The sequence below is a fragment of the Homo sapiens genome, chromosome 4, assembly GCF_000001405.40.
Source record: "Homo sapiens chromosome 4, GRCh38.p14 Primary Assembly".
Classification (NCBI taxonomy): Eukaryota; Metazoa; Chordata; class Mammalia; order Primates; family Hominidae; genus Homo; species Homo sapiens.
Genome location: NC_000004.12, coordinates 138,962,208 through 138,984,526, shown reverse-complemented (window position 1 = coordinate 138,984,526; position 22,319 = coordinate 138,962,208). Strand labels below are relative to the sequence as shown.

At 42.0% G+C, this 22,319-nt stretch overlaps 1 long non-coding RNA gene across 1 annotated transcript in view, besides 3 other annotated features; it reads left to right on the top strand.

Annotated features, from left to right (window-relative positions):
• The window catches only part of LOC105377448 (uncharacterized), a 192,690-nt gene that overhangs the window by 28,120 nt on the left and 142,251 nt on the right, over positions 1-22,319 (top strand). The window lies entirely within an intron of this gene.
• Positions 1,091-1,150: an enhancer, noted in NCBI's record as "active region_21916". NCBI's record gives its function as "activates an Ori minimal core promoter by ATAC-STARR-seq in GM12878 lymphoblastoid cells {active_cell/tissue: GM12878}" and the evidence as "EXISTENCE:reporter gene assay evidence [ECO:0000049][PMID:35858748]".
• Positions 1,161-1,210: an enhancer, noted in NCBI's record as "active region_21915". NCBI's record gives its function as "activates an Ori minimal core promoter by ATAC-STARR-seq in GM12878 lymphoblastoid cells {active_cell/tissue: GM12878}" and the evidence as "EXISTENCE:reporter gene assay evidence [ECO:0000049][PMID:35858748]".
• Positions 6,481-7,302: an enhancer, noted in NCBI's record as "H3K27ac-H3K4me1 hESC enhancer chr4:139898379-139899200 (GRCh37/hg19 assembly coordinates)". NCBI's record gives its function as "activates a minimal SCP1, AML or CMV promoter by ChIP-STARR-seq in naive H9 embryonic stem cells {active_cell/tissue: H9 hESC(naive)}" and the evidence as "EXISTENCE:reporter gene assay evidence [ECO:0000049][PMID:30033119]".

Here is a 22,319-nt window from a genome sequence, read left to right as displayed (position 1 = left end):
TCTACTTAGCAATAGAAAGAGAACTATTGTACACAAAGCCACTGGATTTATCGCCAGAAAATTAAATTCTAAAAGGTTATATATTGTATGATTCCATTTTTATAACATCCTGTGCTAATAAAATTATAGAAGTGGACAGATGAATGATTGTGAAGGAAACCAAAATATTTCTCCCCCAAATATTGAGGATTGTTACATTAAAGGCATTGAAAGTGCCAGGGAACACTCTGCCTCAGCCTCTTTTGCCTGATGGTGAGACATATATCCTTCCTTACTGGAGACAGCACTTGTGTATTGGCACAGAGAAGGGGCCAGCAGACACCAGAGGAATCTGGGAAAGACTTTACTGTCTTCCCACATTTTCCCACCTTTTAAACCCCTAGAACTCCAGCTTGGGCAACAGAGCAGGACCTTGTCTCTACAAAAAAATAAAAAAAAAAAAATGAGAAGGGTGTGGTGGCACATGCCTCTAGTCCTAGCTACTCTGGAGGCTGAGATGGGAGGATTGCTTGAGGCCAAGAGGTTGAGGCTGCAGTGAGCTATGATGGCGCCAATGCCTCCAAACTGGGCAACAGAGAGAAACCCTGTCATAAATAGATAAAATGAATAACTGACTAGAACTGCTGTCTCCCTTGTCCTGTCATTATGTAAGATTTATGGTTCTTTGTTAAAATGCTACTTAAGCAAGGTCCCTAAGCCACTGCCTTGAGAGAGAAATTCTTTATTATTATTTTTCTACGAGACAAGAGTTTCGCTCTTGTCCCCCAGGCTGGAGTATAGCCTTGTGATCTTGGCTCACTGCAACCTCCGCCTTCTGGGTTCAAGCGATTCTCCTGCCTCAGCCTCCCCAGTAGCTGGGACAACAGGTGCCCACACACACACCTGGCTAATTTTTGTATTTTTAGTAGAGGTGGGGTTTTACCACGTTGGCCAGGGTGGTCTCGAACTCCTGACCTCATGTGACCCACCCACCTCAGCCTCCCAAAGTGCTGGGATTACAGGTGTGAGCCACTGCACCCGGCCCAGAGAGAGAAATACTTTTGAACAAGGGCCTTTCCCTCATGATGGGTAGATACAGCACACATTGAACTTCTGCTTTTCTGTTCTTTTATTTTTTGTTTTCTTTTCTTTTGAGATGGAGTTTCACTCTTGTTACCCAGGCTGGAGTGCAAATGGCGTGATCTCGGCTCACTGCAACCTCTGCCTCCCGGGTTCAAGTGATTCTCTCACCTCAGCCTCCTGAGTAGCTGGGATTACAGGCATGTGCCACCATGCGCGGCTAATTTTTGTATTTTCAGTAGAGACGGGGTTTCACCATGTTGGCCAGGCTGGTCTGGAACTCCTGACCTCAGGTGATCCACTCACCTCAGCTTCCCAAAGTGCTGGAATTACAGGCATGAGCCACTGCACCCTGTCTTCTGTTCTTTTTTTGTTTTGTTTTGTTTTTGTTTTTTGAGACAAGTCTCATTCCGATGATTGATCAGGCTGGAATGCAGTGGCACGATTTCAACTCACTACAGTTTTGATCTCCCCAGGCTCAGGTGATTCTCAGCCCCCCAGGTAGCTGGGACTACAGGTGCACATCACCCCGCCCAACTAAGTTTTGTATTTTTAGTAGAGATGGGGCTTCGCCATATTGGCCAGCCTGGTCTGGAATCCCTAGGCTCAAGCAATCTGCCTGCCTCTGGCCTCCCAACATGCTGGGATTATAGGTGCGAGTCACCGTGCCCGGCCTATTTTTCTTCTGTTAATCTGATTTTTATTTTTAGGAGAGTGTCTCAACTATGAACCTATAAAGGGAAAGAAAAGAAATTATATTTTCTTACCTACAATTGCTAGGGGTTAAGGAGGGGGAGAAGGTGGGAGGGAAGTAGACGATGCTATAAAGGACCACCGTTAGGAATTCTTGTGGTGATGGAGCTGTTCTGTGTCTTGACTGTTCATTGTCAATATTCTGGTTGTGATATTGTAGTATCATTCTGCAAGATGTTACCATTGGGGAAAGTGTGCAAAGGGTATAGGAAATCTCTTTGTAGCATTTCTTGCAACTCCATATAAATCAATAATAATGTCAAAGGAAAAAGTTCAGTTAAAAAAGACAAAATCTGCTTGCTTTGTTCTCTGGCTCCCTTTCTTGGTGTCTGTCTTGGCCTGTTAGAGGGATCTGTTTCTTTTTCCGAGCCCCAGGAACTGTGTCAGTTTACCAGAAAATGTCTCTGGCAACTTTTCTCAATATGTCAAAGGGGCCTGCCCTTTGCCAGGCTGGATGGGAAATAGCACAAACATTTCCTTAGCAGATTTCCGTGATATTAAATGGCTAAAGTTGGCAACAGGGACATTCGTGAATTACATCATGATTTCCCATGGAAGTGTCTATGAGAAGAAAATTAGAATTTAGAACTCTCAGTTATGTTCTCCAAAGACTGGGAGGAAGCAAGTGGGGAAGAGGTCAGTAAACAACTCTAAGTGGATTGGCAGCATTTTGCAATCGTACTGTGACTTCATCCTCTCCTGCTCCTGCCCCTACTGGCAGATACATTTGAATTCAGATGGTGGCCTCTAAGAAATCCTTCTTTTAAATTCACTTTTGGTTTGTTCTCTGTAATCCTTGTCATTTTTTTCTATCAGTCCTTGAGTTTTTGAAGTTAACAAATATGTGTATATTTGTTAACTAAAATATATATATATTTATTATATATGCTGAACTGTCACTTTCACTTGGATGGCATGTAAATTCTCAATTAATATATTTATGTATCACCCGAGCCTGAAGAGGTCAAATACGTATATGTAATTACATATATATAATGTAATTGTTAACTTTAAAAATCCAAAAGTGAGACAACAAAAAAATCTACATTTTTTTTTTTTTTTTTTTTTGAGACGGAATCTCACACTGTTGCCTGGGCTGGAATGCAGTGGCATGATCTCGGCTCACTGCAACTTCTGCCTCCCAGGTTCAAGCGATTCTCCTGCCTCAGCCTCCCAAGTAGCTGGGATTACAGGCGCCTGCCACCATGGCTGGCTAATTTTTTATTTTTTATTTTTAGTAGAGACGGGTTTTCACCATGTTGGCTAGGCTGATCTCGAACGCCTGACCTCATGATCCACCTGCATCAGCCTCCCAAAGTGCTGGGATTACAGGCGTGAGCCACTGCACCTGACAAAATCTACATGTTATATATGCTGAACTGTCACTTTCACTTGGATGGCACGTAAATTCTCAATTAACATATTTATGTATTAAAGGCCAGGTATAGTGGCTCATGCCTGTAATCCTAGCACTTTGGGAGGCCAAGGAAGGAGGAGGCCAAGGAAGGAGGATCACTCGAGCCCAGGAATTCAAGGGTGCAGTGAACCATGATCATTCTACTGCACTACAGCCTGGGCAACAGAGCAAGACTCTGTTTTGAAAATTTCTATCTCTATCTATATCTCTTTATCTGTCTATCTATCTCTCTATCTATCTATCATCTATCTATCTGGCTATCATCTATCTATGTGTGTAATAAATAAAAATTTTAAATGGAAAAATTAATATATTAATTGCATTCTCTAGGATGGCAAAATATGAGTTTTAAAGTAAATTTTGGCCAGGTGTGGTGGCTCATGCCTGTAATCCCAGCATTTTGGGAGGCCGAGGCGGGTGGATCATGAGGTCAGGAGTTTGAGACCACCCTGGCCAACATGGTGAAACCCCGTCTCTACTAAAAATGCAAAAATTAGCCAGCTATGGTGGTGCCCGCCTGTAATCCCAGCTACTTAGGAGGCTGAGGCAGGAGAATCACTTCAACCCGGAAGGTGGAGTTTGCAGTGAGCCGAGATCATGCCACTGCACTCTGACCTGGGTGACCAAGCAAGACTCCATCTCAAAAAACAAACAAAAAAAATTAAGTTTCTAGCTTAGGGAAATGTTAACAAACTGCCTTAAAGTTTTAAATGGTCTCTTTGATGAGAAAGAGTGTCTATGGCCAAATTTTCTCCACTGATTTGCTTATGTTACTTATTCTGATATCATGTACATCATAGAATTTCAGCACCAAAATCAACCTATGTTAGTTGGTGTTAGTTTACAAATAAGGAAAGTGAGTTCTAGAGTGATGAATTTAGTTTACAAATAAGGAAGGTGAGTCCTAGAGTGATTAATTTGCTCAAAAATGCACAGAGAAAACATTAGGATTAGAACCCAGATCAATTGAACCTAGTCCAGTCCTCTTTCTACCTTGGCATGTTGCTGTGGGAAGAACACATGGACAGTAGTCCAGGTTCATACCTCTGTAAATGGGGAGACAGCCTAGCCTAGCGTTTTAAGATCACACACTCTGAAATCACCTGGCTGCACCTCCAGGATATGTGACTTGCAACAAATTATTAAGTCCTCGATGCCTGTTTCCTCTTTGTAAACTGGGGATAATAATAATAATTTCCTCATCTAAAAAATTGGGGGCCAGGCATGGTGGCTCATACCTGTAATCCCAGATACTTGAGAGGCTGGGGCAGGAGGATCGCTTGAACCCAGGAGGTCGAGGCTGCAGGGAGCTATGAATATGCCTGGGCATATTCCTGATGACTCTGCCAAGATTTGCAAGTCATGAAGTGACCTTGGCTGGGATTTTCAGTGACAGTGCATAGGCCATTTCCAGAAAACCTTGCTCTTAAGTATAGCTGTTGAATGAATGGGTGCAAGAGGAGGTTCTCTTCTCCTCTGAGCCAGGATAAAGGCTTGACCTTGCTATTCCTCTATTACTATAGGCACTGACATTCTGCTGTTTTCTCTGAATTTAGCAATGGTCCAAACTTCAGACTGAGTTCTGTTCCCCTTCATATTTTATTTTTGTTATGTTTATTTTTAATCTTTTCAGAGACAGGGTCTTGCTGTCACCCAGGCTGGAGTGCGGTGGCAGCATTGTTACCAGAAAGGGGTCCCGATCCAGACCCCAAGAGAGGGTTCATGGATCTCATGCAAGAAATAACTCAAGGCAAGTCTGCAGTGCAAAGAAAAAGCAAGTTTACTAAGAAAGTAAAGTGGTGAGAGAACAGCTACTCTGTAGGCAAAGTAGGGCGTTCCCTAAAGTAAGGGGAGGAAAACGTCCACCTCAGGTAAAATACTCATATATATATATGATAAAAAAAGATCATGGGGAGACGTGCTCTGATATAAGGGTTTGTGATAAAGGATTAATTTTCTTAATTACTATATTTTGCAAGAATCAACATTATCTTTAAAGCAAAATTTGGGCCAGGCATGGTGGCTCACGCCTGTAATCCCAGCACTTTGGGGGCCGAGGCAGGTGGATCACGAGGTCAAGAGATCGAGATCAGCCTGACCAACATGGTGAAACCTGTCTCTACTAAAAATACAAAAAATTAGCCGGGCGTGGTGGTGCCTGCCTGTAATCCCAGCTACTCGGGAGGCTGAGGCAGGAAAATAGCTTGAACCCAGGAGCAGAGCTTGCAGTGAGCTGAGATCATGCCACTGCACTCCAGCCTGGGCGACAGAATGAGACTCCGTCTCAAAAAAAAAATTAAAATAACATAAAATAAATAAAGCAAAATTCGGAATGCCTTTGTTCTGAAGATATCAAGATATCAGGACACTCTCAAGTCTGGGTCTGTTTAGTAAATGTTATCAATCTGTTCCCTTAACTGTAAATACCTAGAGGCTAGGAATACCTAACTTTCTGGGAATGCAGCCCAGCAAGTCCCAGCCTCATTTTCCTAGTCCTCACTCAAGACGGAGTTGCTCTGGTTTGAACACCACTGACACCATCATAGCAAACCTGAACTCCTGGGCTCAAGCAATCCTTCTGCCTCAGCCTCCTGAGTAGCTGGGAATACGGGCTCATGTGACCACACCCAGCTAACTTGTTAAAATTTTCTTTCATAGAGAGGGGGTCTCACTATCATGCCCTGGCTTCTGTTTCACTTTAATGCACACGGACCTGGGGTCACTGGAAGACTCATTTGGTAGGCTGTACTGGGGATTATTTAGATGAGCCACCAAGAAGGCTTCTGGAAAAGAATTTGTCTCAAGATTAAAGGGCGTCAAGGCACCCAAGCATAATCCAAGCCTTTGCTTCAGGATTGGATGGGGAGTTCTTTTTTTTTCTTTTTTGCCAACCCCAGTCTTGAGCTCTAGGAAGCAGGGACTGGGAGTAAAAACCAAAAGAACTATTTGATTAAAATCTCTGTGATTGGAACCCAGATACCATATCTGACAACACAAAGGTGGCTTTTAAGCGCACAGAGGCCTCAGCAGCTCATTGCTGCAGGGAGCCGCACCCCAGAGGGAGGAAATGTGAGATGTCTTAGAGAGCTGAGAGGGCTCAGGTTTGCCCATGGGAGGCATACGCTGGGACTCCTAGAACCCTGGATGGGTGGGGGTCTGGAATTGTGTTCGAAGGACCCACAGCAGCAGGTGGGGTAGATTCAAAGGGATAGTTTTGATATTAATACACCAATCCCATTTCTACCCCCAGGTTGGTATGATGTGCTTTTAGAATACCCCTTATCTCTAGAGACATAATTTATGAACTCTTAATCTGATGGAGGATATATTAGACAGATGTTAATTAAACAATCTCAAAAATATGTTACTTCAAGCTGTGATAAATCCCATGAAGGAGAAATACAGGGTGTCCTGCTGGTATAGAGAGGGGAATCTGATTTGGCCCGGGGTATGTGTGAGAGAGAATAATAAAGAAAGGGCTTCCTGGGGATGTGATGTTTGCACTGGGGAGGAGAGGATGCAAAGGTCCTGAAGCGGATGTGACCAGGTCAAATAAATGACAAACTGAGGAGGGGAGGGAAGCAGAACTCATGAGATGTTTCTTCTCTGATTTGCATTTTTAAATGGAGAGTTGCATTTGTGAAAGCAGAAGTTAGTGCTCGAAGGGTCCGTCTTGCACAGTTGGTCAGCTCTGTTTTTCAACACATGTGGAGTGGGAGGGGCACAGTATCCAATAACTAGGACTCTAATTATGTCTCAGTCACCAACCACGCGTAGGATTTTAAGCAGATTTCTTTTTCTTTTTCTCTTTGAGATGGAGTCTTGTTCTGTCGCTCCGGCTGGAGTGCAGTGGCACGATCTCGGCTCACTGCAACTTCTGCCTCCCGGGTTCAAGCGATTCTCCGGCCTCAGGCTCCCAAGTAGCTGGGATTATAGGTGCCCACCACCACGCTGCGCTGATTTTTTGTATTTTCAGTAGAGACAGGCTTTCACCATGTTGGCCAGCCGGTTTTGAACTCCTGACCTCAAGTGATCTGCCTGCCTCGGCCTCCCAATGTGCTGGGATTACAGGTGTGAGCCACTGTGCCCAGCTGAGATTTTGTCTTTATTTTATTTATTTTTTTGAGACAGAATTTTGCTTTTGTTGCCCAGGCTGGAGTGCAATGATGCGATCTCAGCTCACTGCAAACTCTGCCTCCTGGGTTCAAGCGATTCTCCTGCCTCAGCCTCCCGAGTAGCTGGGATTACAGGCATGCACCATCACACCCAGCTAATTTTGTATTTTTAGTAGAGACAGGGTTTCACCATGTTGGTCAGGCTGATCTCGAACTCCTGACCTCATATAATCCACACACCTCAGCCTCCCAAAGTGCTGGGATTACAGGCATGAGCCACCCTGCCCTGCCCAGCTGAGATTTTATAACCTCCATTTTTCTACCTGTAGAAAAGGGCAGAGTATTGGGTGGAGTCCTCCAGATGATCTCTACCATTCCTTCCAATGCTTAAAAAAAAATCTAAGAGTAGATTTTAAAGAGCCCTCTGTTATTTCATTGTTAGAGAATGTGTTTGTTCACTTGTTAACTCCTCACAAGTGCCCAATCTTTCCTGTTCACTCTCAGAGTAGGCCTTAGGAGAATAGAGTTTATTTTGCTATTATGTGAAGTCTTATTATTTTATTTGACACATACTGTCTTTCATTTACTCAACACCTGGGCCAGGTGCTGAATAGTCAAAGGAGAAAAGGATCTGTTGGTGCTTTCCTCCCTCCTAGTCCACTGTCAACTTAGAAGACACACATGGAATTGGATTTTTGCAATAGAAAGTAATAAATGCTTTGCTAAAGATATATAGACAGTGTTAAGAGAGAATATAGGAAGGCCACATAATCCATATATGAGTAGTATAATGGGTTACACTTGGAGATATAAAAAAGCGGGCAGGAGGCCTCAATCCCAGCACTTTGGGAGACCGAGGTGGGCGGATCACCTGAGGTCAGGAGTTCAAGACCAGCCTGGCCAACATGGTGAAACTCCATCTCTACTAAAAATGCAAAAATCAGCTGGGGGTGGTGGCGGGCACCTGTAATCCCAGCTACTCAGGAGGCTGAGGCAGGAGAATGGCTTGAACCTGGGAGGCAGAGGTTGCAGTGAGCCAAGATAGTGCCTCTGCACTCCAGCCTGGGTGACAAAGTGAGATATCGCCTCAAAAAAAAAAAAAAAAAAAAAAAAAAAAAGTAAGCAGGTAAAACATGGTAGAAACATGGTAGATACTTAATAAATGGATGTGACTGAGTGAATAAATTGTTGGCCAAAAAAAAAAAAAAAAAAAAAAAAGAAGCCAAATTCTGTAAAATATTTGAAGAGATTTATTCTGAGCTAAAGGTGAGGACCATGACCTGTGTGACACAGTCCCAGGAGGTCATGAGAACATGTGCCCAGAGTGGTTGGGTTACAGTGTAATTCTATACATTTTAGGAAGACAGATGTTACAGCCAGAGACATAAATCAATACATGTCAGGTTTACATTGGTTCAGCCCAGAAAGGTGAGACACCTTGGGGCGGGCGGGGGTGAGGTAGGGGCGGGGGGGGGGGCGCTGGGCGTGGCTTCCAGGTCATAGGTGGATTCAAAGATTTCCTGATTGACAATTGGTTGAAAGAGTTAAGTTTTGCCTAAAGAGTTGAAATCAACAGAGATAAATGTTTGGAGTTAAGATAAGAGAGGTTGTGGAAGCCAAGATTCTTTTTTTTTTTTTTTTTTTTTGATAGAGACAGAGTCTCACTATGTTGCCTAAGCTGGTTTCGAACCCCGGGCTCAAGTGATCCTCCCGCCTCAGCTTCCCAAAGTGCTGGGATTACAGATGTGAGCCACCAGGTGGCCAACATTCTTGTTATGTAGATGAAGCCTCCAGGTAGCAGGCTGCAGAGAGAATAGATGGTAAATGTCTCTCATCATACCTTAAAAAGTGCCAGACTCTTAGTTGAATCTCTTTTGGATCAGAGGAAGACCTGGAAAGGGAAGGGAATTCTCTACCGAATATACATTTTCCCCACAAGAGAGGACTATGCAGGGCTATTTCAAAATATGTCAAAGAAATATATTTTGGGGCAAAATACTTTGATTTCTCTCAGGGCCTAGTATCTGTCATACAATGCTATACGAGAGGCACGTTGGAATTTGGTATCTTATTGCTACAGAGTCTGTTTATTAATGGCAGAGTTTTAACAATTTATTTATTTCCAACTTTTATTTTAGGTTCAGGGGGTACATATGCAGGTTATATGAGTGAACTGCGTCAGTCTTAAGATCTCTTCTGTTTTTTTTTTTTTTTTTTCTTTTGAGACAGAGTCTCACTCTGTCGCCAGGCTGGAGTGCAGTGGCACAATCTTGGCTCACTGCAACCTCCACCTCCCGGGGTCAAGCGATTCTCCTGCCTCAGCCTCCTGAGTAGCTGGGACTACAGGCGTGTGCCACCACGCCCAGCTAATTTTTGTATTTTTAATAGACAGGGTTTCATCATGTTGGCCAGGATGGTCTGGATGTCTTGACCTCGTGATCCGCCTGCCTCGGCCTACCAAAGTGCTGGGATTACAGGCGTGAGCCACCACACCCAGCCTAAAATCTCTATTTTAATGTTAATGCTGGTCAGTTGTGCCTGAATTCCAAAGGTAGGAGAGTATAATGAGGTATGTCCGCCTCCCGCTTCCCACCATAGCCTGAATTAGTTTTTCAGCTTTCTGTAGAATCCCTTTGGCTGAGAGGAAGGGTCCATTCAGCCAGCTGGGGGGCTTAGAATTTTATTTTTGGTTTACGAAATGAATCATATTGCTGTTATTCTAACTTTGAATTGCTAGATGGCTGATGCCAAGACCCTTATTATTGTTCTTTCATGTCATAGAAGAAGAACATTAATAATGGTTGCAATTGTTATGATTGTAAGAACAACGAGGCACTGTATACATTCACATGGGTAATGTTTACTTGCACTACATTTTTTTCCCTTAACTTTTTATTAGGTGTTTGTGTTTACCATTAATCTTTCCTCCCAGAGACTAGAAAGACTGCCCTTAGCCATTTTCATCTTATTGTATTAAATCTTAGAAAGGAATGAGTTCCTTGTATATAACACGAGACAGATAGGAGACTAAAACCTGGGGTAGAGAAATTCAATAAAAGTTTCCTCCCGGAGGATGGGAACCCTAGAGGGAGGTGATATGAATCTGTGAAATGATGCAGTCATGACTGAGCTAAGGAGATAGCAAGGTTGAAGGTTTGGAGTTTTTCTGTCTCTCTTTAATTTGCACTCAACACTTGCTATAGTAACAAATGGGATTGGAAGCCCTAAGTGCAAATCATCAACCTCAGAAGAAAAATGTTACTTTTATGCTGTCCATTAAAACATTTACCTGCTCCATATGCTCCAGCACTTACCCGAGAAAGAGGAATTTGCCCAATGAAAATTGAGAGCACGTTTCTGAAAAATTGTTTTCCATACATCTTGCAAATCACTGTGCTCAAATATGCTAGGTTGTAGCCAGACTGACCTCTGGGGAGCGATTATCAGGGAAATAACCATGAACAGCAATAAGATCGTGCACCGATCTGACTAGCAACACCAGGATGTGACCTTTTTGTGCAGGACGCATTCATGTGGGCCCGCCTGAATTGCCAGGAGCACTGTAATTAATGGGGCACCAGAGAACAGCTTATTCTCTACGAGCTGCTAATTAGTCCTCCTGGAGACACATATCCCGAATCACATCCAGGGTGTCATGTTCCAACTACTGCTTGCTGAGCTGAATTAGATAAGTTTGTGGGGGGCCATGAGGACTAAAATCTCAATATCACACAGCTGCAGTCCTTTCATTTTCTCCCAAAGTGGCCCCACCTAAGGGAAACTATGGTGATTGGGAAATACCTACAATTTCTACTTCCTTTTTGGAAGGATTCATGATTTCATTTGCAATCTCATGAGTATCAAATATACTAAATGTTTTAAACTCACAGATTGCTTTGCTTCCTTTTTACCTGTATGATGTTTTGATCAGTTGGCATGGCATGGAGAACAGTAACTACCACCCACAGTCAGGAGAGGTGGAAACCTACCTGTGGGGCTGCCACGCAGGGCTGTGCAAGTTGTGCCCTGCTCAAGGATGCAAGCTGACGGGAAAATGGGGCCTGAAATCCAGCTCACTGTTGCCCAGCATGTGTCTTTGTGCACATCAGAACCCAGCCAGTCTGACTGTAGAATTCTTAACTACACACCATATGGACTTTAAAACTAATAGCTGACTGAGCTTTCATATCCTGGAAACCAGCTTTATCATCTACCAGCTCTCAGTCACTGAAGACTTAGGAAGTGAAGGTTGAAGCAAACTTTTTAAAACCGAAAATTGATGTACATACTAGGATATTGTCTGTGATTGGTTTTTGCTGAAGAAAGAATCATTCACCCCAGTACACCATTCAATATGAAGGTCGATCAGTAATAGATGTGGTTATTTATTCACAATCTCAGCAATACAGTTAACTTTTGATTAAAGGCATAGAGTTTGACTGCTAGTTGGCAAATTATAAAAGTCAGTACTATAAGCAAACATATTTGGTAGACCAGAAATGGAGGCCAAGTGTGGTGGCTCGTACCTGTAATCCCAGTACTTTGGCAGGCTGAGGTGGGAGGATTGCTTGAGGCCCGGAGTTTGAGACCAGCCTGGGCAACATAGCAAGACCCTGTCTCTACACAAATTAAAAAATATATATATATATAGACATGGTAGCACATAACCGTAGTCTCTGCTACTTGAGAAGTTGAGTCAGGATAATCTCCTGAGACCAGGAGCTTGGGGCTGCAATGAGCTATGATCTTGCCACTGCACCTCAGCCTGGGTGACAAAGCAAGACCCTGTCTCAAAAAGAAAAAAAAAAAAAAAAGAAACGTTGATGTATCTTTCAGGGAAACCATGAAGGTCTGGTTCACCTGATTAAAGGTTGTGTGGTAACTGAGGCTTAACATCATTATACACAATTCTGCTGAATCAGTCTTCTCAAACGAATGCTGTGCCCTTGGAAACATGGTTGGCTTTAGAAGCAAAGCCATGGCCTCAGCTTTTTCCAGCTGAGGAAACATCAGCATATCAACTTTATTATTTTTTTTGAGACAAGGTCTTGCTCTGTGGTCTTGCTCTGTGGCACCATCATAGCTTACTACAGCTTCCGACTCTTGGGCTCAAGCGATCCTCCTGCCTCAGGTTCCCAAGTGTCTGGGATTACAGGCACACACCACCACGCCAGGCCAATTTTTAATTTTTTTGTAGATATGGGGTCTTGCTATATTGCCCAGGCTCATCTTGAAGTCCTAGCCTCAAGCGATTCTCCTGCCTTGGCCTCCCCAACAACATATCAACTTCCAACCTTCAATTTTCTCATCTGTAAAATGCTTTCTTCTCATGATTATTAGAATTAAATAAAATAAGTAAAGCATCTAGCAAAGAGCCTGGAACATCATAGGTTCCCAGCAAATGTTAGTCCTCTCACCCCCAATCTTAAAAATCTTCAATTATTTCTATATTAGTTTCCTAGGGCTGCCATGATAAAATCCCACACATTGGGTGGCTTCAAACAACAGAGTTATTCTCTTACAGTTCTAGAGGCTGGAAGCCCAAAATCAAGGTGTTGGCAAAGCCATGCTTCCTCCGAAGTCTCCCGGGGAGAATCTTTCCCTGCCTCTTTCACCTCTTCCAGCCTCAGGTGATGCTTGGCTTGTGGCAGCAAACCACCTTCACACCTCAGCTTTCCCTTTGTGTGTGTGTGTTCACCTGGTATTCTTCTCCCTGAGTGTCTCTCTGTCCAAGTTACTCTCTTCTTATAATGACACCAGTTAGGTCAGGTGCAGTGGCTTACACCTGTAATCCCAGCACTTTGGGAGGCTGAGGCGGGTGGATCACAAGGTCAGGAGTTCAAGACCAGCCTGGCCAAGATAGTGAAACCCCGTCTCTACTAAAACTACAAAAATTAGCCAGGAGAAGTGGAAGGTGCTTGTAGTCCCAGCTACTCAGGAAGCTGAGGCAGGAGAATCGCTTGAACTTGGGTGGCGGCAGAGTTTGTAGTGAGCTGAGATCACACCACTGCACTCCAGCCTGGGCAACAGAGTGAGACTCCGTCTCAAAAAAAAAAAAAAAAAAAAGACACCAGTTATATTGGATTAAAGCCCATCCTAATGGTCTCATGTTAACTTGATTACATCTGCAAAGATTTAATTTCCAAATAAGATCACATTCACAGGGTGTCAATATATTTTTTGGGGTGTCAAACATATTTTTTTGGGGATGCTAGTCAAACCCTTAACGTTTCCCATTGTCTGTAGGAAAACAATAATTAATGGTTGTATGGTGACTTTAGAGTTTACAGAGGGCTTTTATTATCTCTGCCCAGGGAGACAGGACTTTATGTTTTTTTTGTAAAGGGGGGGATTTACCATTTAAACTAGTTGGTGTTTTTTTTTTTTTTTTTTTTTTTTTTTTTTTTTTTTTAATAGGAACTGAAGATATAAATTTAGGTTTGGTGCAAAATTCTCTTGTTTTGGAAAAAAATCACCAGAAGATACCATTTTTTTACTTTTTCATGTTGCAACATAGTTTTCATAATTTTCAGTCAGTAGATGATCTAGTCAATGTGCCACTATTTATTTCCTGGTTGTTGAATAGTCAGAAATCCCTGAAGAGGAATGTCTTGATTGAATCAAGAATTCAACGGACGTATAACTATACAATACTGAACTGGTCTTCCCAAATTGACATGGCATTTTTGTGTACTGGAAACAAAGTAGGTTCTAGAGTCAGATAGACTGGGAGTCATGTCTCAGTACCAGGTCTTTCCAGCTGTGTCAATTTGGCATATTAAAAAAGAGTTGTAGGCTGGGCACGGTGGCTCATGCCTGTAATCCCAGCACGCTGGGAGGCCGAGGTGGGCAGATCACAAGGTCAGAAGTTCGAGACCAGCCTGGCCAATATGGTGAAACCCCATCTCTACTAAAAATACAAAAATTAGGTGGGCATGGTGGTGGGCGCCTGTAGTCCCAGCTACTCAGGAGGCCGAGGCAGGAGAATTGCTTGAACCTGGGAGGCAGAGGTTGCAGTCAACCAAGATCATGCCATTGCACTCCAGCCTGGGCGACAGAGCGAGGCTCCATCTCAAAAAAAAAAAAAAAAAAAAAGAGTTGTAGAACGATATATAAAATAAGCATATGTTTATAGTCACATGAAAAACTATTTATATCTGCTCAGGAAAGGATCTGGAAGGATCCTTAACACAAAAACTGCTAAGATGAGTAAGAATTCATCTGGAAACTGATGCGGGGGAGAGAAGGACATTCATATTTTATACAGGTACATTTGTATTAAAATTTTCTTTCAACAAGTGTGCACTTTTTCTAGTTTTTAAAGAACCAATTTAGATTAGGCGTGGTGGCTCACGCCTGTAATCCCAGCACTTTGGGAGGCTGAGGCAGGTGGATCATTTGAGATCAGGAGTTTGAGACGAGCCTGGCCATCATGGTGAAACCCTGTCTCTACTAAAAATACAAAAATTAGCCAGGCATGGTGGCACATGCCTGTAGTCCCAGCTACTTGGGACGCTGAGGCAGGAGAATTGTTTGAACCCAGGAGGTGGAGGTTGCAGTGAGCCAAGACTGTGCCACTGCATTATGGCCCGGGGAACAGAGCAAGACTCTGTCTCAAAAAAAAAAAAAAAAAAAAAAAAGAACCAATTTGAAACAAATCAAAAGCTTCTGCAATTATATAGGCGTAGGGGGAAGAAAGGCACCTATTTTATTTTATTTTATATATTTTATTTTACTTTGAGATGGAGTCTCGCTCTGTTGCCCAGGCTGGAGTGCAGTGGCGAGATCTCAGCTTACTGCAACCTCTGCCTCCTGGGTTCGAGTGATTCTCTTGCCTCAGCCTCCCAAGTAGCTGGGATTACAGGTGCCTGCCACCATGCCTGGCTAATTTTTGTACTTTTAGTAGAGATGGGGTTTCACCATGTTGGCCAGGATGGTCTTGAACTCCTGACCTCAAATGATCCTTCCGACTCGGCCTCCCAGTGTGTTGGGATTACAGGCATGAGCCACCATTCCTGGCCAGCACCCATTTTAAAGGCAGGTACTTTGAAAGTTGGGAATTTAAACAATTTACCTATACCATTTTCTCTCTATTGTTTGCTAATTGGAAAAGATAATTATAGAGAAAAGATTATTTGAAAAGAGAAGTAAAAATGAGGAACTTTTGTTCTTATTGTCTCTGGTTATAATTTTTTTGGAAACCCATTAATATCTTATTCAGATAGCGGAGACTCGTTCTTCGTCTTCCTTTTTAGGGAAAGAAAACAGTAGAAGAAACTTTGAAAAGATGCATACTTTAATTAGAATTGCTGAAAAAATATTTGAGATTTTTGCTGTGGTAGTTAATGTTTTAACAGGCTTTACTTTTCAGCTGAAACCTGATTTTGCATTGCAAGCAAATGTTCTCATTTTTTTAGATGAAAGTTGCCTTTAGTAATGATTCCTCAATTATTTTCTCTCTTTTTTTCTCAATGATTTTTTTCTACACTTTGGTTTTGAACTTATTTCAAAATCTCTCAACAACTGATTTCACAGGCTCTGTAAAAAAAAAATTACAAAAAGTAAAACAACCCTCAACACGTTCTGTTTTTTCAGAGAATCCATAGCTCAGGATCACATACCATGTCTTAACTTTAATGTCTGCTTTTGAAAAAAGAGTGTATGCTGGCTTTCAAAGACGCAGATTCTTCCATTTTACTCATCACCATTGTAACAAATACTTATTAAAGAACTAGCTTCCTACCAGCAAAGGTGTTAAAAGAGACAAATAAAATAAAAAACAGAAAAACAAAAGAAAAACTAGGAAGTTAGCAATATACCTGGGAAGTGAAATAACTTAAAACAAATGTAATTCCCTATTTCATTTACTTCAACACCTTTTTATTTTATTAAAAAAACTCTTTAAAAGCAACTTTATTTTTTATATTTAAATAATTTCAACTTTTATTTTAGATTCAGGTGGTACATGTGCAGATTTGTTACCTGGGTATGTTGTGTGATGCTGAGGTTTGGGGTAGGACTGATCCTGTCACTTAGGTGCTGAGCATGGTACCCAGTAGTTATTCAACCCTTGCCCCCACCTCCCTCCTCCCTCCAGTAGTCCCCAGTGTCTATGGTTGCCATCTTTATGTCCATTAGTACCCATTCTTTAGCTCCCACTTGTGAGAACATGTGGTTTAGTATCATTTTAATATTATTGTTCATTTAATTTCCAATTGGCTTATAGAGGGTCTGGGTGTGGTGGCTCACGCCTATAATCTCAGCACTTCAGGAGGCTGAGGCTGGAGGATCACTGAGGCTAGGAGTTCAAGACCAATTGGCTTATAGAAAAGGTCTTTATGCGAGACTATTCTTTTTTGATTTATATTTCTTGAAAGGTTACAAAAAGTTTTCACAAATAACTAGGCCTGAAAAAATGGTTTGTTTAATAAATTATGTATTAATACAAATTATTAGGATATATTTTCAGCAAATATAGGAAGTTTCATAATCAGTTACTGACAGATTGAAACATACCAGTTCATGTTATTTGAATACTTGACAGAAAAAAACCTGATGTGATCCTGATGAGTTAAAACAAGAACTAAGTTCAGGTTGAAAGGTCATTGGGACTATTTCGAAACAATTCCTACGTCACTAGTGAGAATACAAAGATGGTTTAGATGACCTTATGTACATATACAGTCATACATTAATTTGTGTAATGGTTCTTGTGGCTGCCAGTTCTCGTTATTCTTTAACACCTTCTTCACCATCAGCATTATTTGAAAATAACTTATTAATCACACAACTCTACATGGTAGTACACATGGAAGATACAAAGATGACTCCATACTCATGAACACAAATTGTGGCTGCTGTTAAAACATTTGACATTGTGCCTTCTGTGAATGAGGTTAGCATAAACATGGCATCTTTCTGCTTATAGATAGAAATATGAGACCCTGATGATTCTCTGTTGCTTCAGCGGACTGAGGATTGATTGGCTGTAACAAATTTTGTGACTCTTGCTAAGCAAGCCCAGAACCTGGCACATTGAGAGCCACTTAAGAAATGCGTTCTGCATTACAAGATAACCTACAACTGAATGCAAATGAAAAGCATCATGGAAACAAGAGTCTCAAAAAAAGTAAATTTAATGCCGGGGCCATATGCTACAATACCAATTTGCGTACTTATTTTCTAGAAAGAAACAAAACAAAAACATATTCTTCTGTGTTACTTACATGGCTTTGGATATTGAAAAAGCAGAATAATTAGATTTTCATTTTTAAATCTTCCTAAATAATGCAGAATAAAAATGTCATTTCGTTTTTGCTTTTTAGAAGATGGTTCATACTGAAAAATATCATTTCTTTCGTATCAGAAATTTGAGACACATCGAAAAATTGAGAAATATAACTTTTAGAGAAACAATAAAATTTGGACATTAGGAAATCCAATAATGCAATTCACATGTTAATAAATTGAAAGAGCTCAAATGATGATCTCATTAGATGTTGAAAAAGCACTCAATAGAATTCAACGTACATTCTTTATTTGAAAAGAAACTATTAACAAGCTTTGATAAGGGCAGAAGCCACTGTAGATATAATGATGAAACATCAGAAGATTTCTATTGAAGATGGGAGCAGGACAGGGATTCCACCATCATCATGTTAGGGATTTTTGTTTCATATTGTTTTCAGAAGCATATTCCAAATGAATTAGAAATTCAAATATTCTGTAATCCCAGTACTTTGGGAGGCTGAGACGGGCAGATCACCTGAGGTCAGGGGTTCAAGACCAGACTGGCCAATGTGGTGAAACCCCATCTTTACTAAAAATACAAAAAAATTAGCCAAGTGTGGCAGCAGACACCTGTAATCTCAGCTACTTGGGAGGCTGAGGCAGGAGAATCGCTTGAACCCGGGAGGCAGAGGTTGCAGTGAGCTGAGGTCACGCCACCACACTCTAGCCTGGGTGACAGAACGAGACTCTGTCTCCAAAAAAAAAAAAAAAAAATTTCAAACGTTAAAAACTTTCCATGAAGGCACTAGAAGGTAGTATAGGAGAAGTGTTTTTGTTTGTTTGTTTTTTTGTTTGTTTTGTTTCGTTTGTTTGTTTTTTGAGATGGAGTTTCACTCTTGTTGCCCAGGCTGGAGTGCAATGGCGCGATCTTGGCTCACCGCAACCTCCGCCTCCCAGGTTCAAGCGATTCTCCTTCCTCAGCCTCCCGAGTAGCTGAGCTGGGATTACAGGCACGCGCCAACACGCCTGGCTAATTTTGTATTTTTGGTAGAGCTGGGTTTCTCCATGTTGGTCAGGCTGGTCTTGAACTCCCGACCTCAGGTGATCCGCCCGCCTCTGCCTCCCAAAGTGCTGGGATTACAGGCGTGAGCCATCGTGCCCGGCCTGTTTTTTTTTATTTTTTAAACGAACTTGGGGGTAAAGATGGCCTTTCAAAAAAGTCTGAAACCACAAAAACCATGAAGAAAAGATGGACAGATCTGTCCTCATAACTATTTTAAAAACTTCCATTTAATGAATGATGCATAATTAAAGCTACGTGTCAAATAGCAGAGAGAGGAAGTGTTTTCACAGAACCATATGAGAACCATAATATTTAAAGGGATTCAAATTGCAAGAAAAAGTAAGTCAAAAGAAAAGGGCAAACTTAAGGCAATTTACAGAAAAAGAAATATAAATGGCTGAGAAACATCTGAAAATTATTTAATCTCACAACTAGGGAAATACGAATAAATACAATAATAATATGCTACCTTCATTCTCCAAAATAAAGTAAAAATATAATCTCACATTCAGCTGATGGAAGTGTTCGTTGTTGTAACCCTTTGTGGAGAGCACTTTGGGAATATCTCTCAAAACAGTAATGCTCAGGCTGGATGTGGTTGCTCACGCCTGTAATCTCAGTGCTTTGGGAGGCCATGGTGGGAGGATTGCTTGAGGCCAGGAGTTCAAGGCCAGTCTGGGCAACATAGCAAGACCTCGTCTCTACAAAAAATAGAAAAAATTAGCCTGGCATGGTAGTGTATGCCTATTCAGGTCCCAGTTATTCAGGAGGCTGAGGTGGGAGGATCGCTTGAGCTTGGGAAGTCAAGGCTGCAGTGAGCTGTGTTACTGCACTCCAGCCTGGGTGACAGAGTAAGATGCTGTTTAAATAAAATAAAAGTAAAAATAAAAATAAAAATAAAATACAACAGTAACGCTCACACGCATTGATTCAGCAACATATGTATAATGCACATGGATATTTATTACAGCAGAGTCGGCATTAAAGAAAATCTGAAAATAGCCGAACTGTGAAAACTAAAAACAGCTACCAAACACTTATGGTTCAGTGATAACTCTACATCTGCAAAGGAGAGTCAGGCAGTGCTGGATGTATTGACACAGAAGATGTTTCTGACTTAATATTAAGCAAGTTTCAGAACAATATGTTTAATACAATCCAACATATGTAATAAAAACATAAAAGATTTATAGCACCTATATGTGTAAATAGATACAGATATATAGAAAAAGTCTGGAGGGGTCCACTGTGAACAGCTAATCATTGCTTCCCATAGAAAGTATGATGTGCTTATGAACGTGACATGTTTTCAGAAAAAAAAAAGTATATTGTGGTGAGTCTCAACCCTATCGGGCCTGAGGAGAGATGAACCGAGATTTTGACTTTTGTACCCTGTATACCTCTGTACTGTTAGAATTTTTAGACAATAAATGTACATTTGTTGTATAAAAAATTAATTATAAAAAGAGAGAAATGTAATTCATATAATGTATAGAGCATTGTTGTTTTTCTTTTTTTTTTTTTGAAATGGTGTCTCACTCTGGCCCCAAGCTGGAGTGCAGTGGCGCGATCTCAGCTCACTGTAAGCTCCGCCTCCCGGGTTCACGCCATTCTCCTGCCTCAGCCTCCCGAGTAGCTGGGACTACAGGCGCCCACCACCGCACCCGGCTAATTGTTTGTATTTTTAGTAGAGACGGGGTTTCACTGTGTTAGCCAGGATGGTCTCGATCTCCTGACCTGGTGATCTGCCCGCCTCGGCCTCCCAAAGTGCTGGGATTACAGGCGTGAGCCACTGTGCCCCGCCGAGCATTGTTGTTTTTCATAAGCAGACATTAGAATGCAGCCAATGTATATGAAATGATTTAGAATTTTTATCCATCAGTCTAAAAAAAATAGTTTTCATCATAGGTGGGAGAATTATTTTTTCATTGATAAAATATTTACTTTCATTAATGTCAGTTAACTTCATTTGCTATTTCTCTCCTTGGAAAAGTTGCCTGCTGGGCCTTCAACCCTGGCTCCTGAGAAAGGAATCTGAGTATAGGCAGAACTCAACTAAATGCAAGTTTCTTTTATCGGAAACTTAGTGTTAAAAGAAAAACGTGTAGAGATATTGCTAGCTGGTTGAAGTCTGTTGTAGAGTATGATGGGTTATTATGAAATTTCAAACACCAGAGGTAGATTTCTCCCTCCCATCCCATCATTTCCTCCCTCCTGATGTGATTCTGATGAGTGAAAACAAGAACTAAGTTCAAGTTGAAAGGTCATTAGGAATATTTAGACAATTCCTACGTCACTAGTGAGGACCCTTTCCCTTCCCTCCCCTCCCCTCCCCTCCCCTCCCCTCCCCTCCCCGTCACTTCCTTCTTGTGACGATTAATTTTATGTGTCAACTTGACTGGGCTAGGGCATGCTCATATAGCTGGTTAATGTTATTTCTGGGTATTTCTGTGATGGTGCTTCTGGAAGAGAGTGGAATTTGAATCAGGAAACACAGTAAAAAAGATCACCGTCATCAGTGTGGGTGGGCATCATCCAATCTGTTGAGAACCCAAATAGAACAAAAAGGTGGAGGAAGGGCTAATTTGCAATCCGCTTGAGGTGGGACACCTGTCTTCTCCTGCCCTCAGACATCAGTGCTCCTGGTTGTTGGGCCTTTGGGGCTGGACTGGAACTACACCACTGGCTTTCCTGGGCCTCCAGCTTGTAGATTGTAGATCACGGGACTTTTCAGCCTCCATAATCACGTAAGCTTATCCCTCATAATAAATCTCTTGCTATGTATCTGTGTACAGTTGATCTTTGAGCAACAAAGGTTTGAACTGATGGATCCACTTATAAGTGGATTTTCTTCTGCCTCTGCACCCCTGGAGCAACAAGACCAATCCCTCTTCTTCCTCCTCAGCCTACTCAACATGAAGATGAGGATGAAGACCTTTTTATTCTTTTCTTTTTTTTTTTGAGACAGAGTCTCACTCTGTCACCCAGGCTGGAGTGCAGTGGTGCAATCTTGGCTCACTGCAACCTCCACCTCCTGGGTTCAAGCGATTCTCCTGCCTCAGCCTCCTGAGTAGCTGGGATTACAGGCACCCACCACCATGCATGACTAATTTTTTGTATTTTTAGTAGAGACGGGGTTTCACCATCTTGGCCAGGCTTGGTCTTGAACTCCTGACCTCGTGATCTACCTGCCTTGGCCTCCCAAAGTGCTGGGATTACAGGCGTGAGCCACTGCGCTCGGCCGAGGATGAAGACCTTTATGATGATCCAGTTCCGCTTAATGAATAGTAAATATATTTTATCTTCCTCATGATTTTTTTTTTTTTTTGAGATGGAGTCTTGCTCTGTCGCCCAGGCTGGAGTGCAGTGGTGCGATCTCAGCTCACTGCAAGCTCCAGCTCCCGGGTTACACCATTCTCCTGCCCCAGCCTCCTGAGTAGCTGGGACTGCAGGCGCCTGCCACCTCGCCCGGCTAATTTTTTGTATTTTTAGTAGAGACGAGGTTTCACCGTGTTAGCCAGGATGGTCTCGATCTCCTGACCTCATGATCTGCCTGCCTCGGCCTCCCAAAGTGCTGGGATTACAGGCGTGAGCCATGGCACCCGGCCTCCTCATGATTTTTAAAATAACATTTTCTTTTCTCTAGCTATCTTTATTGTAAGAATTCAGTAAATAATACATG